At 37.9% G+C, this 18048-nt stretch overlaps 1 protein-coding gene across 23 annotated transcripts in view; it reads right to left on the reverse strand.

The window, feature by feature from the left end:
- TASP1 (taspase 1) overlaps nt 1-18048 on the reverse strand; it is a 534161-nt gene that overhangs the window by 480307 nt on the left and 35806 nt on the right. For 19 of the 23 annotated variants that reach the window (XR_001754319.3, XR_007067463.1, NR_136629.2 and 16 more), the window contains one exon: nt 2172-2292. The exons of 2 other annotated variants lie outside the window; for them this stretch is intronic. Coding sequence is in view for 14 of the 21 variants with exons in the window: in XM_047440269.1 (XP_047296225.1) it covers nt 2172-2292 (121 nt within the window). In the remaining 7 variants the exon portion in view is untranslated. Of the gene's footprint in view, nt 1-2171; nt 2293-15464; nt 15540-18048 lie in introns of those variants that run through there. 2 more of the 23 variants (NM_001323604.2, XM_047440276.1) reach the window with 2 other exon arrangements.

Here is an 18048-nt window from a genome sequence, read left to right on the forward strand (position 1 = left end):
ACCTAATTTCCCAACACAATTCTGTGAGGAAAAGACTTCCTTTCAATAGAGGGCAATGGACCATTTGGATATCCATATGAGGAAAAAATAAATAAATGTTGACCCCTATGTTACATATACAAAAATTAATCTGAGCTTGATAAGAAAGCTAAACATGATGGATAAAAACAATAAAATTACAGAAAGAATGAAGATTATCTTCATAACTTTGAACAGGCAAAAACTTAAAATACAAAGAGTTAATCACAAAAGAAAAGGTTGCTAACTTAAACTTCATTAAAATCAGAAACTTCTATTCATCAAAAAACACCATTAAGAGATTGTAAAGGCAAACCATAGACTGGGAGAAGATATCCATAATACATGTATCTTACAAAGGATTTGTATGTAAAATATTTAAAATACTCCAACAAATCAATAAAAGATATAATCAAATAAAAATCTGCAAAAGATGCAAATATGCACTTCTCAACAAGGCTATCTAAATGGTCAAAAAGCATATGAAAAGGCTCTTATAAGTCACTAGGGACACTCAAATTGAATACCACTACACACATAAATCACTAGGGACACTCAATAATACCACTACACACATATCAAAATGGCTGAATTTTAAAAACAATTAACAATACCAAAAATTGGCAAGGATGCAGAGTAACTGAAAAGCTCCTACACTGCTAGTAGGAGTATAAACTGCAACAATTACTTTTGAAAACCGGCAGTATCTATTAAAACAAAATATATATGCATATGTACCTAAAGAAGTACATACGTGGCCAGGCACAGTGGCTCACGCCTATAATCTCAGCACTTTGGGAGGCTGAAGCTGGCAGATCACTTGAGGTCAGGAGTTCAAGACCAGCCTGGCCAACATGGTGAAACCCTGTTTCTACTAAAAATGCAAAAATTAGCCAGGCACTGTGGTGGGTGCCTGTAATCCCAGCTACTTGGGAGGCTGAGGCAGAAGAATCAATTGAACCCAGGAGGCAGAGGTTGCAGTGAGCCGAGATCGCACCACTGCACTCCAGGCTGGGTAACAGAATGAGACTCCGCACCACTGCACTCCAGGCTGGGTAACAGAATGAGACTCCATCTCAAAAAAAAAAAAAAAAAAAAAACAGAAGTACATATGTCTACCAAAAGACATGTAAAATAATATTCACTGAAGCTTTACTCAAAAAAGTAAAAAGCTAGAAATTTCATATGCCCATTAAGAGGAGAGTAAATACAGAAGTTATGGTATATCCATTCAATGAAATACTACTAAGTGGTAAAAAATAAAATACTACTGACACAAAACATGGATCCATCTCACAGGCATAACATTAAGCAAAAGAAAACAGACACAGAAGTGTCTGATCCCACTCATGTAAATTTTAGGAACAGGCAAATTAATCTATGGCACCCAAAGTTAGCATGAGGGAAGAGAGCACAAGAAGTATGGACCAAGGAGAAGCATAAGGGGTCCTTCCAGGATTATGAAAATGTTCTACCTTTTGACATGGAAATGTTTAATGTCTTGATCTAGGTGGTGGCTTATATGGTGTCTACATCTAAAAATTCATGAAGCTGTACACATAAAATACATACTTCATGTATATTTTGCTTTAATAAATGAATTATAAAACATGAGACATATCTTTTATGTACTGATGTGGAAAAAATCTCCAAAAGATTATATTTAAATCTAAAAAGTTTATAATAATTAACACATTTATTTTTTAAGAAAACAAATACAGGCACAAAATAAAACTGTGTTTCTGTTACATAAAAATATAGATAAAAGCACTGGATTTTTACTGGTTAAACCCCACGGGGAAAGGAAATGAGAAAGAAAAGATCTTTTGGAGGATCAAAGGTAAATTTTATTTATATTACCTGAAATTTTTTACAACAAAAAATATAGTGTGTATTTCAAATTGTAAAATTAATATTCTAAATCATGTCTTAAATGTCTTTAATCTCTTCAAGGGATACAGGAGAATGATCAAATTCAAACCAAAAACTACTTATAACTAAGACTGTATGTTTTAAATTCAATAAAAAAAGAACATTTGTTTTAAACACTATTCCAAGCAGAAATGGTGAAAAAGACTGTAATCATCTTTAGAAGGCATGAAATGGTCACGTGCATGATTTTCCAAAGATAGTAGGTCATAATGCCCACATACCACTCAGTGCTCCAACTGCTCCAAAATTTAAGGATTTTCCATCCATTATGCTGGCATCACACTCAATTTCACCTAACAGATTTAGATTAGATCCCATTCCTGCATTTGTAAAAGGAGAATCCTAAAAGACAAAAACAAAAATTAAAATATCATTAGTCTTAAAAAAAGTATTAATGTCAGTCCTTCATGAAATTTTCTAAAAGCTAGAAGGTGAGAGAATACTTTCCAACACATAGTATGATGCCAATACCACCCTGATGTTAAAACATGACAAAGATATCAGCAGCAAAGTACAGATCAATATACTTTGTAAATATTGACCAAAAAAACATCAAAGAAATAGCAGCAAAACAAATCCAGCAAAATATAAAAAGGACTGTATATCACAAACAAGAGGAAAGTAAGATTGGTTTAATATCTGAAAATCAATGTAATACCCTGTATTAATAAAATACAGGGAAAAAAACATGATTGTATCAAAAAAAAAACACAGAAAAAAGGCATCTGACAAAATCCAACACCCTTTCATGAGAAAAACAGAAAACTAGATAAGGGAACTTCTTAACTTGACAAAGGGGATCAATGAAAAGGCCAGGCCAGGCGCAGTGGCTCACACCTGTAATCCCAACACTTAGGGAGGCCAAGGTGGAAGGATCACTTGAGCCTAGCTGTTCAAGACCACTCTGGGCAACACAGTGAGACACCATCTATACAAAAAAATTTAAAACTTAGCCAGGTGTGGTGGTATGCATCTGTGGTGCCAGCTGCTCGGGAGGCTGAGGTTGGAGATCACTGAAGCCTAGGAGATTGAGGCTCCAGCAAACCATAATTACGCCAAAAAAAAAGTCCAGAGTTAACATTATAATTAATGGTGAAAGACTGGATGCCTTCCCCTAAGATCAGGAACAAGACAAGGATATCCACTCTCAGTACCTATTCACCAATATACTGTACAATCTAACCAGACAATTAGACAAAAAGGAGAAAGAAAGAAAGGAAGAAAGGAAGGAAGGAAGGAAGGAAGGAAGGAAGGAAGGAAGGAAGGAAGGAAGGAAGGAAGAGAAAGAAAAGGAAGGAAGGAAGGAAGGAAGGAAGGAAGGTAGGTAGGTAGGTCTAGATTGGAAAAGAAGAAGTAAAATTGTCTGTTTCAAGATAACATGACGCTGTATGTAGAAAATCCTAAAGAATCCACTAAAAAAAAATTAGAATTAATAAGTTTAGGAAGGTTGCAGGATATGAGATTAATGTGCAAAAATCAATTGGATTTTTATATATTAGCGATAAACAATCTAAAAATGAAATCAAGAAAATCTCACAATAACATCAAAAACAAAAAAACAGAAATACATTTTTAAAAGAAGTATAAGACTTGTATGCTAAAAACTGTAAAACACATTGAAAAAATTTTTAATTCAATACCTAAATAGGTGGAAAACATTCTATGTACGTGGACCAGAAGGCTTAATGTTGTTACAATGGCAATACTCCCCAAATCAATCTAATTCAAAATAATCCTTTATCAAATCCTAGCTACTTTTTTTGGCAGAAACTGACAGGCTGATCCTAAAATTCATATGGAAATGCAAGAGACGCAGAATAACCAAAACAATCTTGAAAAGAACAGAACTGAAGGACTCATACTTACTACAAAACTACAGTAATCAAGACAGTGTAATATAGACATATAGCTAAGGATAGATATATAAATTGATATAATAGAAATGAGAATCCAGAAATAATACACCCTTATAATCAATTCAACAAGGTTGCCACAACAATTCAATAAAGAAGGTATAGTCTTTCGTGGGTTTTTTTTTTTTTTTTTTGAGATGGAGTCTTGCTCTGTTGCGCAGGCTGGAGTGCAGTGGTGTGATCTCGGCTCACTGCGAGCTCTGCCTCCTGGGTTCACGCCATTCTCCTGCCTCAGCCTCTTGAGTAGGTGGGACTACAGCCACCCACTACCATGCCCAGCTAATTTTTTGTATTTTTAGTAGAGACAGGGTTTTCACCGTGTTAGCCAGGATGGTCTCGATCTCCTGACCTCGTGATCCACCCGCCTCAGCCTCCCAAAGTGCTGGGATTACAGGCATGAGCCACCGCGCCTGGCCAGAAGGTATAGTCTTTTCAATAAATGGTACTGGGACAATTAGATAGCCACATGTAAGAAAATGAAGTTGGACCCCTATCTCACACCATGTATAAAAATTAACTCAAAGTGGACCAAAGCCCTGTATGTAAGAGCTAAAACTACCTAACTCTTCAAAGAAAACATAACAACAAATGTTCATAACCTTGGATAACAAAATAGTTTCAGATTTGACACCAAAAATACAACCAAAGAAAAAACTAGGTAAATAGGACTTCATCAAAATTTAAAACTTTTATTTCAAAGGACACCATAAAGAAAATAGGGGGAAAAAAACACAAAATGGAAGAAAAAATTTCAAGCCATGTATCTAATAAGGGATTTATATCCAGAATATATATTTAAAAAAATTCTACAGCTCTAAAACAAAAAGATGACACAATTTAAAAATGGGAAAAGAATATGAATTAACATTTCTCCAAATAAGATATATAAATCAACAGCAAGCACATGAAAAGATGTTCATGCCATTGTACTCTAGCCTGGGCAACAAAGTGAGACCCTGTCTCTAAAAAATAAATAGATAAAAATCAATTCTAAAAACAGAAAAATGTGGCCAGCCATGGTGGCTCACACCTGTAATCCCAGCACTTTGGGAGGCCGAGGCAGGCAGATCACTTGAGGCCAGGACTTCAAAACAAGCCTGGCCAACATGGTGAGAACCTGTCTCTACTAACAATACAAAAATCAGCTGGACATGGTGGTGGTCATCTGTAATCGCAGCTACTCAGGAGGCTGAGGCACGAGAATCGCTTGAACCCAGGAGGCAGAGGTTGTAGTGAGCCAAGATCTTGCACCACTGCACTCCAGCCTGGGTGACAGGGCGAGACTCTGTCTCAAAAAAAGAAAAAGAAAAATGTTCAACATCTTTTGTCATCAGGAAAAGGCAAATCAAAACCCACAACAAAATACTACTTCAAACCCACAAGGATGGCTATAATCATACAGATAACAACACATGTTGGGAAGGATGTACGGACATGCAAGTAAGCAGAATAATATGGCCCACAACCAGAATAAATACCAAATAATAACAAACGCAGAAATGACAACAATGACCGAATTAGCAAACAATTTTAATGTTAGCTAACAATGTTAAACTCGATCATATAAACATACTCTATATGTTCAGGTAGGTATATGAAAGCATTAGCAAAAGAAGGAAAGAAAACACAACTGTAAAAATTTTTGACCAGGCACAGCAGCTCACACCTGTAATCCCAGCACTTTGGGAGGCCAAGGCGGGAGGATTACAAGGTCAGGCATTCGAGACCAGCCTGGCCAACATGGTGAAACCCCATCTCTACTAAAAATACAAAAATTAGCTGGGCATGGTGGTGCTCACCTGTAATCCCAGCTACTCAGGAAGCTGAGGCAGGAGAATCACTTGAACCCGGGAGGTGGAGGCTGCAGTGAGCTGAGATCATGCCACTGCACTCCATCCTGGGTGACAGAGCAACACACTGTCTCAAAAAAAAATAAATAAATAAAAATAAAAATTTTTAGAGATGAAGTAGACAATAATTTAAGGTAAAGGCACTTTGAAAATGGTTAACAGTAAATTTGGCACTGCAGAAGAAAATAGCAATAAACGTAATAATACAGCAATAAAAATTATCCAAATAAATGACAAAGTGAAAAAAATACTAAGAAAAGGAAAAAGAAGAAAAAGAAAAGGAGGAGGAAAAGAAAGAAAAAAACAGTACTGGAGAAGAATGGGAAATATCAAATGATCCAACATGCACGTAACTGGAGTCCCAAATAAAAGTAGACAAATGGATGAACAATAAAAATATTAGCCAAAAATTATCCAAACTTAATAAACACTATGAACATACAAATCCAAGAAGCTCAACAATCCCCAAATAAAAGAAATATGAATAAAAATACAACAGAGTACATCATAATCAAAATGCTGAAAACCAGCAATAAAATCTTAAGAGCAACAAGAGCAAAAAGACACATGTGAAAATGAACAAAAATATTAAAGCAGATTTCTGGTCAGAAACAATGCAAGACAGAAGACAATGGAGTAATCTCTTTAAAGAACTAAGAGAGGAAACAAACTAAAAACTGAGAAAACTACAAAATGTCTTCATTAAGTAAAGGCAAAATAAAGACTTCTTCAGACACATAAAAATTGGGATAATTTTTCACCAGCAAACCTACACTATAAGTAATGTTAAAGGATATTCTACAGGCCAAACAAAAAAGACACCACATGTAAATCTGGGATATGCAAAAGAATGCAAGTGATTAATACTCTAAATAAGTGGGAAGATATAAAGAACTTTTATCTCATTTTCAAAGTGTTTCAAATGATAATTGTTTAAAGCAAAAATACTAACAATGTATCATGGGGTTTATAACATATACAGGTGCAAACTATAGGGCACAAGTAGCACAAAGATTGTGAGGAATGAATGGAAGTGTAATGTTACAAGCTTCTGACATTATACATGAAGGCCTATAATATTAATATAATTTGAAAGTAGACTATGATAATCCAAAAGTGTATTTTGCAAATGGTAGGGCAACTACTAAAAAAATAAAAGAAGTATAGCTAATAGGACAAAAGTGGAGAAAAAAATGGTTCATTTTTTTTAAATCCTCAAAAGATAGCATAAGAAGAAGAAATAAGAACAAAGTAGAGATGAAAGGAATAGAAAATAACGAGATGATTGCTTTATATGCAGCCATATCAACAATTACATTAAATTTAGCTGGGCACAGTGGCGCACACCTGTAATCCCAGCACTTTGGGAGGCCAAGGCAGGCGTATCACGAGGTCAGGAGTTCAAGACCAGCCTGGCCAACATGGTGAAATCCTGTCTCTATTAAAAATAAAAAAATTAGCTGGGCATGGTGGCGGGCACCTGTAATCCCAGCTACTCGGGAGGCTGAGGCAGGAGAATCACTTGAAACCAGAAGGCAGAGGTTACAGTGAGCCAAGATAGCACCACTGTACTCCAGCTTGGTCAATGAAAGCGAAACACTGTCTCAAAAAAAAAAAAAAATTATATTCAAATTGTCTAAGCACTTGAATTAGAGGCTCACTGACTGTCAGAAAACTTTACAAGAAACTGTACTTAATTATAAGAGCATAGACAGCTAAAAGTAAAAGCATATTAGGAGATATTACCAAAAATATATCAAAACATCCCTTCTCTCATTGCTCATATTAGTGATGTCTGACTCTTCTTTTACATTCCTAATCAGTCTGGCTTGATGTTGATAAATTTTATTAATCTTTTAAAGAACTAACTTAACTATTGGTTTGGTTGACTTTCTGTTTTCTATTTCATTGATTTCTACTTTTTTTCTTTTGTATAATTTTTTTTCTTTTTGTATACTTTGGATATGACATGCTTCTCTTTTTCTAGTTTCTTAAAATGATAGGTTAAGTAACTGATTTGAGATCTTCCTTCTTTTCTAATAAGCAATGAATGCTACAAATTTCTTCAGAATGAGGAACATCATCCCTCTTGAATATACATGCAAAAATCCTTAACAAAATATTAACAAATCTAATCCAGCAATATATAAAAAGAACAATACATTATAGCCAAGTGAAATACATCCCAGTAATACAAGACTAGTCCAACATTAGAAAATCAATTAACAGACCAGGAAAAATCACAAGATCATATCAATACTTGCTGCAAAAACATCCTAAAAATAATTCAGTATCCATTCATGATGTTAAAAACTCTCAGAAATCCAGGAATAGAGGAGAATTTCCTTAACTTAATTAACTTAAAAATGATAATACATCATAACCAAGTAGCGTTTATTCCAGAAATGCAGGGCTGATTAAACAGTTAAAAAAAAATCACCTTCCATTCCATGATGGCCAAATAGGAACAGCTCCGGTCTGCAGCTCCCAACATGACCAATGCAGAAGACAAGTGATTTCTGCATTTCCAATTGAGGTACCTGGTTCATCTCACTGGGACTGGTTGGACAGTGGGTGGAGGCCACGGAGGGTGAGCCGAAGCTGGGTGGGGCATCGCCTCACCCAGGAAGCACAAGGGGTCGGAGGATTTCCCTTTGACAGTCTGCCATGACAGACTGTACCTGGAAAAACAGGACACTCCTGACCAAATACTGTGCTTTTCCCATGGTCTTAGCAGCCGGCAGACCAGGAGATTCTCTCCCATGCCTGGCTCGGCAGGTCCCACACCCATGGAGCCTTGCTCACTACTAGCGCAGCAGTCTGAGATCAACCTGCGAGGCTGCAGCCTGGTGCGGGAAGGGGCGTCCACCATTGCTGAGGCTTGAATAGGTAAACGAAGTGGCTGGGAAGCTCGAACTGGGTGGAGCCCACCGCAGCTCAGCAAGGCCTACTGCCTCTACAAACTCCACCTCTGTGGGGAGGGCATAGCTGAACAAAAGGCAGCAGAAACTTCTGCAGACTTAAACGTCCCTGTCTGATAGCTCTAAAGAGAGCAGTGGTTCTCCCAGCATTTCATTTCAGCTCTGAGAACGAACAGACTGCCTCCTCAAGTGGGTCTCTGAGCCCCGTGTAGCCTAACTGGAAGACACCTCCCAGTAGGGGCTGACAGACACCTCATACAGGTGGGTGCCCCTCTGAGATGTAGCTTCCAGAGAAAGGATCAGGTAGCAATATTTGCCATTCTGCAATATTTGCTGTTCTGCAGCCTCTGCTGGTGATACCCAGGCAAACAGGGTCTGGAGTGGACCTCTAGCAAATTCCAACAGACCTGCAGCTGAGGGACATGACTGTTAGAAGGAAAACTAACAAACAGAAAGAAATAGCATCAACATCAACAAAAAGGACATCCACACCAAAAACCCCATCTGTAGGTCACCAACATCAAAGACAAAAGGTAGATAAAACCACAAAGATGAGGAGAAACCAGAGCAGAAAAACTGAATATTCTAAAAACCAGAGCGCCTCTTCTCCAAAGGATCACAGCTCTTCGCCAGCAATGGAACAAAGCTGGATGGAGAATGACTTTGAGGAGATGACAGAAGTAGGCTTCAGAAGGTCGGTAATAACAAACTTCTCCGAGCTAAAGGAGCATGTTCTAACACATCGCAAAAAGCTAAAAACCTTGAAAAAAGGTTAGACAAATGGCTAACTAGAATAAACAGTGTAGAAAAGACCTTAAATGACCTGATGGAGCTGAAAACCATGGCATGAGAACTTTGTGACACACGCACAATCTTCAATAGCTGATTCAATCAAGTGGAAAAAAGGATATCAGTGATTGAAGATTAAATTAATGAAATAAAGTGAGAAGACAAGAATAGAGAAAAAAGAGTAAAAAGAAACAAACAAAGCCTTCAAGAAATATGGGACTATGTGAAAAGACCAAATCTACGTCTGATTGGTATACCTCAAAGTGACAGGCAGAATGGAACCAACTTGGAAAACACTCTTCAGGATATCATCCAGGAGAACTTCCCCAACCTAGCAAGGCAGGCCAACATTCAAATCCAGGAAATACAGAGAACACCACAAAGATACTCCTCGAGAAGAGCAACTCCAAGACACATAATTGTCAGATTCACCAAGGTTGAAATGAAGGAAAAAATGTTAAGGGCAGCCAGAAAGAAATGTCAGGTTACCCACAAAGGGAAGCCCATCAGACTAACAGCTGATTTCTTGGTGGAAACCCTACAAGCCAGAAGAGAGTGGGGGCCAATATTCAACATTCTTAAAGAAAAGAATTTTCAACTCAGAATTTCATATCCAGCCAAACTAAGCTTCCTAAGTGAAGGAGAAATAAAATCCTTTACAGACAAGCAAATGCTGAGAGATTTTGTCACCACCAGGCCTGCCTTACAAGAACTCCTGAAGGAAGCACTAAACATGGAAAGGAACAACCAGTACCAGGCACTGCAAAAACATGCCAAATTGTAAAGACCATCAATGCTATGAAGAAACTGTATCAATTAACGGCAAAATAACCAGCTAACATCATAATGACAGGATCAAATTCACACATCACAATATTAACCTTAAATGTAAATGGGCTAAATGCCCCAACTAAAAGACACAGACTGGCAAATTGTATAAAGAGTCAAGACCCATCAGTGTGCTGTATTCAGGAAACCCATCTCACGTGCAGAGACACACATAGGCTCAAAATAAAGGGGTGGAGGAAGATCTAACAAGCAAATGGAAAGCAAAAAAAAGCAGGGGTTGCAATCCTAGTCTCTGATAAAACAGACTGTAAACCAACAAAGATCAAAACAGACAAAGAAGGCCATTACATAATGGTAAAGGGATCAATTCAACAAAAAGAGCTAACTATCCTAAATATATATGCACCAAATACAAGAGCACCCAGATTCATAAAGGAAGTTCTGAGAGACCTAAAAAGAGATTTAGACTCCCACACAATAATAATGGGAGACTTTAACATCCCACTGTCAATATTAGACAGATCAACAAGACAGAAGGTTAACAAGGATATCCAGGGCTTGAACTCAGCTCTGCACCAAGCAGACCTAATAGACACCTACAGAAGTCTCCACCCCAAATCAACAGAATATACATTCTTCCCAGCACCACACTGCACTTATTCTAAAATTGACCACATAATTGGAAATAAAGCACTCCTCAGCAAATGTAAAAGAACAGAAATCACAACAAACTGTCTCTCAGACCACAGTGCAATCAAATTAGAACTCAGGATTAAGAAACTCACTCAAAACTGCACAACTGCCAGGTGCAGTCGCTCACGCCTGTAATCCCAGCACTTTGGGAGGCCGAGGAGGGCAGATCACCTGAGGTCGGGAGTTCGAGACCAGCCTGACCAACATGGAGAAACCCCATCTCTACTAAAAATACAAAAAAACTAGCCAGGCATGGTGGCGCATGCCTGTAATCCCACATACTCGGGGGGCTGAGGCAGGAGAATCGCTTGAACCCAGGAGGCGGAGGTTGCAGTGAGCCAAGATCACACCATTGCACTCCAGCCTGGGCAACAAGAGTGAAACTCGTAAAAAAAAAAAAAAAATGCACAATTACATGGAAATTGAACAACCTGCTCCTGAATGACTACTGGGTAAATAACAAAATGAAGGCAGAAATAAAGATGTTCTTTGAAACCAATGAGAACAAAGACACAACATACCAGAATCTCTGGGACACATTTAAAGCAGTGTGTAGACGGAAATTTATAGCACTAAATGCCCACAAGAGAAAACAGGAAAAATCCAAAATCAACACCGTAATATCACAATTAAAAGAACTAGAGAAGCAAGAGCAAACAAATTCAAAAGCTAGCAGAAGGCAAAGAAATAACTAAGTTTAGAGCAGAACTGAAGGAGACAGAGACACAAAAAACCCTTCACAAAATCAATGAATCCAGGAGCTGGTTTTTTGAAAAGATCAACAAAATAGATAGACTGCTAGCAACACTAATAAAGAAGAAAAGAGAGAAGAATCAAATAGATGCAATAAAAAATGATAAAGAAGATATGACCACCAATCCCACAGAAATACAAACTACCATCAGAGAATACTATAAACAACTCTATGCAAACACATTGGAAAATCTAGAAGAAATGGATAAATTCCTGGACACACATACCCTCCCAAGACTAAACCTGGAAGAAGTTGAATCTCTAAATAGACCAATAACAGGCTCTGAAATTGAGGCAATAATTAATAGCCTACCAACCAAAAAAAGTCCAGGACAGACGGATTCACAGCCGAGTTCTACCAGAGGTACAAAGGGGAGCTGGTATCATTCCTTCTGAAACTATTCCAATCAATAGAAAAAGAGAGAATCCTCCCTAACTCATTTTATGAGGCCAGCATCATCCTTATACCAAAGCCTGGCGGAGACACAACAGAAGAAGAGGATTTTAGACCAATATCCTTGTTGAACATCGATGCAAAAATCCTCAACAAAATACTGGCAAACCGAATCCAGCAGCACATCAAAAAGCTTATCCATCACAATCAAGTTGGCTTCATCCCTGGGATGCAAAGCTGGTTCAACATACACAAATCAATAAACATAATCCATCACATAAATAGAACCAACAACAAAAACCACATGATTATCTCAATAGATGCAGAAAAGGCCTTCGACAAAATTCAACAGCCTTCATGCTAAAAACTCTCAATAAACTAGGTACTGATGGAATGTATCTCAAAATAATAAGAGTTATCTATGACAAACCCACAGCCAATATCATACTGGATGGGCAATAGCTGGAAGCATTCCCTTTGAAAACTGGCACAAGACAAGCATGCCCTCTCTCAGCACTCCTATTCAACATAGTGTTGGAAGTTCTGGCCAGAGCAATCAGGCAGGAGAAAGAAATAAAGGGTATTCAATTAGGAAAAGAAGAAGTCAAATTGTCCCTGTTTGCAGATGACATGATTGTATATTTAGAAAACCCCATCATCTCAGCCCAAAATCTCCTTACGCTGATAAGCAACTTCAGCAAAGTCTCAGGATACAAAATCAATGTGCAAAAATCACAAGCATTCCTATACACCAATAACAGACAAACAGAGAGCCAAATCATGAGTGAACTCCCATTCACGGTTGCTACAAAGAGAATAAAATACCTAGGAATCCAACTTACAAGGGATGTGAAGGACCTCTTCAAGGAGAACTACAAACCACTGCTCAACAAAATAAAAGAGGACACAAACAAATGGAAGAACAGTCCATGCTCATGGGTAGGAAGAATCAATGTCATGAAAATGGCCATAGTGCCCAAGGTAATTTATAGATTCAATGCCATCCCCATCAAGCTACCAATGACTTTCTTTACAGAATTGGAAAAACTACTTTAAAGTTCATATGGAACCAAAAAAAGAGCCTGCATTGCCAAGACAATCCTAAGCAAAAAGAACAAAGCTGGAGGCATCATGCTACCTGACTTCAAACTATACTACAAGGCTACAGTAACCAAAACAGCATAGTACTGGTACCAAAACAGATATATAGACCAATGGAACAGAACAGAGGCCTCAGAAATAACACTACACATCTACAACCATCTGATCTTTGACAAAACTGACAAAAACAAGAAATGGGGAAATGATTCCCTATTTAATAAATGGTGCTGGGAAAACTGGCTAGCCTTATGTAGAAAGCTGAAACTGGATCCCTTCCTTACACCTTATATAAAAATTAATTCAAGATGGATTAAAGACTTAAATGTTAGACCTAAAACCATAAAAACCCTAGAAGAAAACCTAGGCAATACCATTCAGGACACAGGCAGGGGCAAAGACTTCATAACTAAAACACCAAAAGCAATGGCAACAAAAGCCAAAATAGACAAATGGGATCTAATTAAACTAAAGAGCTTCTGCACAGCAAAAAGAAACTACCATCAGAGTGAACAGGCAACCTACAGAATGGGAGAAAATTTTTGCAATCTACTCATCTGACAAAGGGCTAATATCCAGAATCTGCAAAGAACTTAAATAAATTTACAAGAAAAAAACCCCATCAAAAAGTAGGCAAAGGATATGAACAGACACTTCTCAATAGAAGACATTTATGCAGCCAACAGACACATGAAAAAATGCTCATCATCACTGCTCATCAGAGAAATGAAAATCAAAACCACAATGAGATACCATCTCACACCAATTAGAACGGCGATCATTAAAAATTCAGGAAACAACAGATGCTGGAGAGGATGTGGAGAAATAAGAACGCTTTTACACTGTTGGTGGGAGTGTAAATTAGTTCAACCATTGTGGAAGACAATGTGGCAATTCCTCAAGGATCTAGAACTAGAAAGACCATTTGACCCAGCGATCCCATTACTGGGTATATGCCCAAAAGATTATAAATAATGCTACTATAAAGACACATGCACACATACGTTTATTTCAGCACTATTCACAATAGCAAAGACTTGGAACCAACCTAAACATCCATCAATGATAGACTGGATTAAGAAATGTGGCACATATACACCATGGAATTCTATGCAGCCATAAAAAAGGATGAGTTCATGTCCTTTGCAGGGACATGGAAGAAGCTGGAAACCATCATTCTCAGCAAACTATCACGAGGACAGAAAACCAAACACCGCATGTTCTCACTCATAGATGGGAACTGAATAATGAAAACACTTGGACACAGGGCGGAGAACATCACACACCAGGGCCTGTCAGGCGGTGGGGGGCTGGGGGAGGGATAGCATTAGGAGAAATACCTAATGTAAATGACGAGTTGATGGGTGCAGCAAACCAACATGGCACATGTGTAGCTATGTAACAAACCTGCACGTCGTGTACATCTACCCTAGAACTTAAAGTATAATTTTAAAAAAAAATCAATGTAATTCACCATATTAAGAGAAAAAGGAAAAAACCATATGATCATCTCAGTAGATACAGATAAAGAGGCTAACTAAATCCAACATCCATTCGTGATTTAAAAAAAAAAAAAAGATCCTGGAAAACAAGGAATAGAAGGGAACTTTCTCAACCTTCTCAACCACATAAAAACTTATTTATGAAAAACAAATAGTTATTCCTATATTTGTCTATATTTTAAAAACAAGCCAAGTGAACCACTGAGTTAGTAAGCTCATAGGATACAAGATCAATATATAAACAAAAACTTTTTCTATATAGTAGTAATAAACTATTGGAAATTAAATGTTTTTAATATCAATTATCATAGCATCAAAACATGAAATACTTGGGAATAAACATAATACATACAAGATCTGTACACTGGAAACCACAAAATAATCTTGAGAGATATTTTTTAAATCCAATAAATGGAAAGAAATACTATGTTCATGAACTGGAAAATTCAGTATTATTAAATTGATCAACAGGTTCAACACAATCCCAATATAAATTCCGGCAGTCTTTCTCTTCTTGTAAAGATTGACAAGTTGGTTTTAAAATACTTATGTAAATGCAAAGGAACTAGAATAGCAAAGAAATCTTGAAAAGAAATTTAGGGACTCACATTGCCTGATTTCAAGATTTCAAGAGTGTGGTATTGACATAAATTTAGATATATAGATGAAAGAGATGGAATAGAGTTCAGAAATAGACACACAGAGAAATGGTCAATTTTTGCCAAAGGTGGCAAGGCAATTCAATGGAGAAAGAATAACATTTTCAAGAAACTGTACTAGAAAAATATACAAAGGAAATAAAAGATATTTACCTCACACTAGAATTCAGGAAAAATTGTTTTTGAAAAGGACCATACACCTACATGTAGGGGTTAAAACTATAAACACTGTAAAAGAAAAAACAGGATAAAGTATTGTGACCTTACATTAGGCAAGTATTTCTTACACAGAAAAACATATATTATACAAGAAAAAATAATTGAATTTTATCACTTTACTGTTCAAAAGCAATTAAAAAAAGCAAGCCATTATACATATACATATGTGTATGTATATGCACACATACATACATACATAGGTTAGTACAAAAACATGTATATCCTTGCTCTGTCAGCTGAGAGGCCCTATAAACAATGATACTCCAACGAGCACATCTAGGAACCAAGCTTTGGATTCAAATACTATTCTCCAATAAGGTAACCAGTATTCCTTGGAGAAATGGCTGATTCTAGGACTGAGGCAAGAAATGTACAAGGTAAGCCTGGCCGGGTGTGGTGGCTCACGCCTGTAATCCCAACCCTCTGGGAGGCCCAGACAGGAGAATCACTTGAGCTCAGGAGTTCGAGACCAGCCTGGGCAACACAGCGAAACTCCATCTCTAAAAAATAAAATACAAAAATTAGCCAGGTGTGATGGCAGGCACCTGTAGTCCCAGCTATTGAGCGGCTGAAGTGGGAGGATGGCTTGAGCCTGGGAGGCTGAGGTTGCAGTGAGCTGTGATCATGCCACTGCACTCCACCAGCCTGGGCAACACAGTGAGACAGCAACTGTCTCAAAAAAAAAAAATGAGCCTGGAGCATCTTATACTACCAGAAAGGAAGTGTTCAAAAATAAAAAAAAGAAATCATAATGATGGGGATATATCAAAGGGCCACAAGGGCCAACTGAAAGAGCTCCCAATGGCCAAAGCAGAAACAATTTGAGCAACAAAATAAATAAAGCAGTATTAGACTACAACTAAAAGGATAAAATGTAAATATCCATGAGTCCATACTGATATAAATTCATTACTGAATGAATAAATACATAAATAAATAGGAGGAAAAAGAAAATTTTTGCAAAAGAATTCCAAAAATATTAGTTACTCCATGCTCAAGAAGGTGAAGCAAAACTCCCCACTCCTTAAGTGTGAGGTACCTATACTGACTTCCTTCTGAAGAATACAGTATATGTGTAGAGGGAAAAAAGAATACCTTTAGAGTGGAAAAACCCAGCAAACACTACACTGTGTAAGGCATGTGATACAAGTCAACATCAACAGCGATAAGTCATGGTCATAATATGTACCCTTGATATCGTATGATGAGAATGACAATTTATCTCTAAGGTCTTCCACCTAAAAACCCATAACCCCATTCTTTTTTTTTTTTTTTTTTTTTTTTTTGAGACAGAGTCTCGCTCAGTTGCCCAGGCTGGAGTGCAGTGGCTCGATCTCCACTCACTGCAAGCTCCGCCTCCTGGGTTCACGCCATTCTCCTGCCTCAGCCTCCCGAGTAGCTGGGACTACAGGTACCCGCCACCATGCCCAGCTAATTTTTTTGTATTTTTTTAGTAGAGATGGGGTTTCACTGTGTTAGCCAGGATGGTCGTGATCTCCTGACCTCGTGATCTGCCCTCCTCAGTCTCCCAAAGTGCTGGGATTACAGGCGTGAGCCACCGCACCCGGCCACCCATAACCCCATTCTAATCATGACAAAAACATCATACAAATCTCAATTAAAGGAAACTCCACAAAACACTGGACTAGTATTCCTCAAACAGGTTATGGTCACAAAAAACAAGGAAAGTCTGAGAAACTGTCACAGCCAAGAGGAACCTAGAAACATGACAACTAAAAATGTAATGTGGTATCCTGGATGGAACCCTGGAAGAGAAAAAAGGCATTAGGCAAAAACTAAGAAAATCTGAACGAAGTATGGATGTCAGTTAATAATGTATCAATAAAGGTTCATTCATTATGACAAATGTACCTGCTAATTAAGATGCTAATTAGGGAAACTGGATATTAGCATATGAGAATTCTCTAAACCAGTGGTCCCCAACCTTTTTGGCACCACTGGGACCAGTTTTGTGGAAGACAATTTTTCCATGGATGGGGTGGGGAATGGTTTTAGAATGAAGCTGTTCCACCTCAGATCATCAGGCATTAGATTCTTATAAGGAGCATGCAACCTAGATCCCTCACATGTGCAGTTCACAATAGGGCTCCTGCTGCTATAAGAATCTAATGCCACCACTGATCTGACAGGAAGCAGAGCTCAGGCGGTAATGCTCACTTGCCCACCATTCCCCTCCTACTGTGTGGCCCAGTTCCTAACAGGCCACAGACTGATACCAGTCTGAGGCCCTAGGGTTACGGACCCCTGCTCTAAAATATCTTCACAATTGTTTTGTAAATCTTTAAACTGTTCTAAAATAAGTTTATTAAAGAAAAATGGGGCCAGGCATGGTGGCTCATGTCTGTAATCCCAACACTTTGGGAGGCCGAGGCAGGTGGATCACCTGAGGTCAGGAGTTCAAGACCAGCCTGGTCAACATGGTAAAACCCCATCTCTACTAAAAATACAAAAAGCAGCTGGGCATGGTGGCGTGCATCTGTAATCTCAGCTACTCTGG

This window comes from Homo sapiens, chromosome 20, assembly GCF_000001405.40.
Source record: "Homo sapiens chromosome 20, GRCh38.p14 Primary Assembly".
NCBI classification, from domain to species: Eukaryota; Metazoa; Chordata; class Mammalia; order Primates; family Hominidae; genus Homo; species Homo sapiens.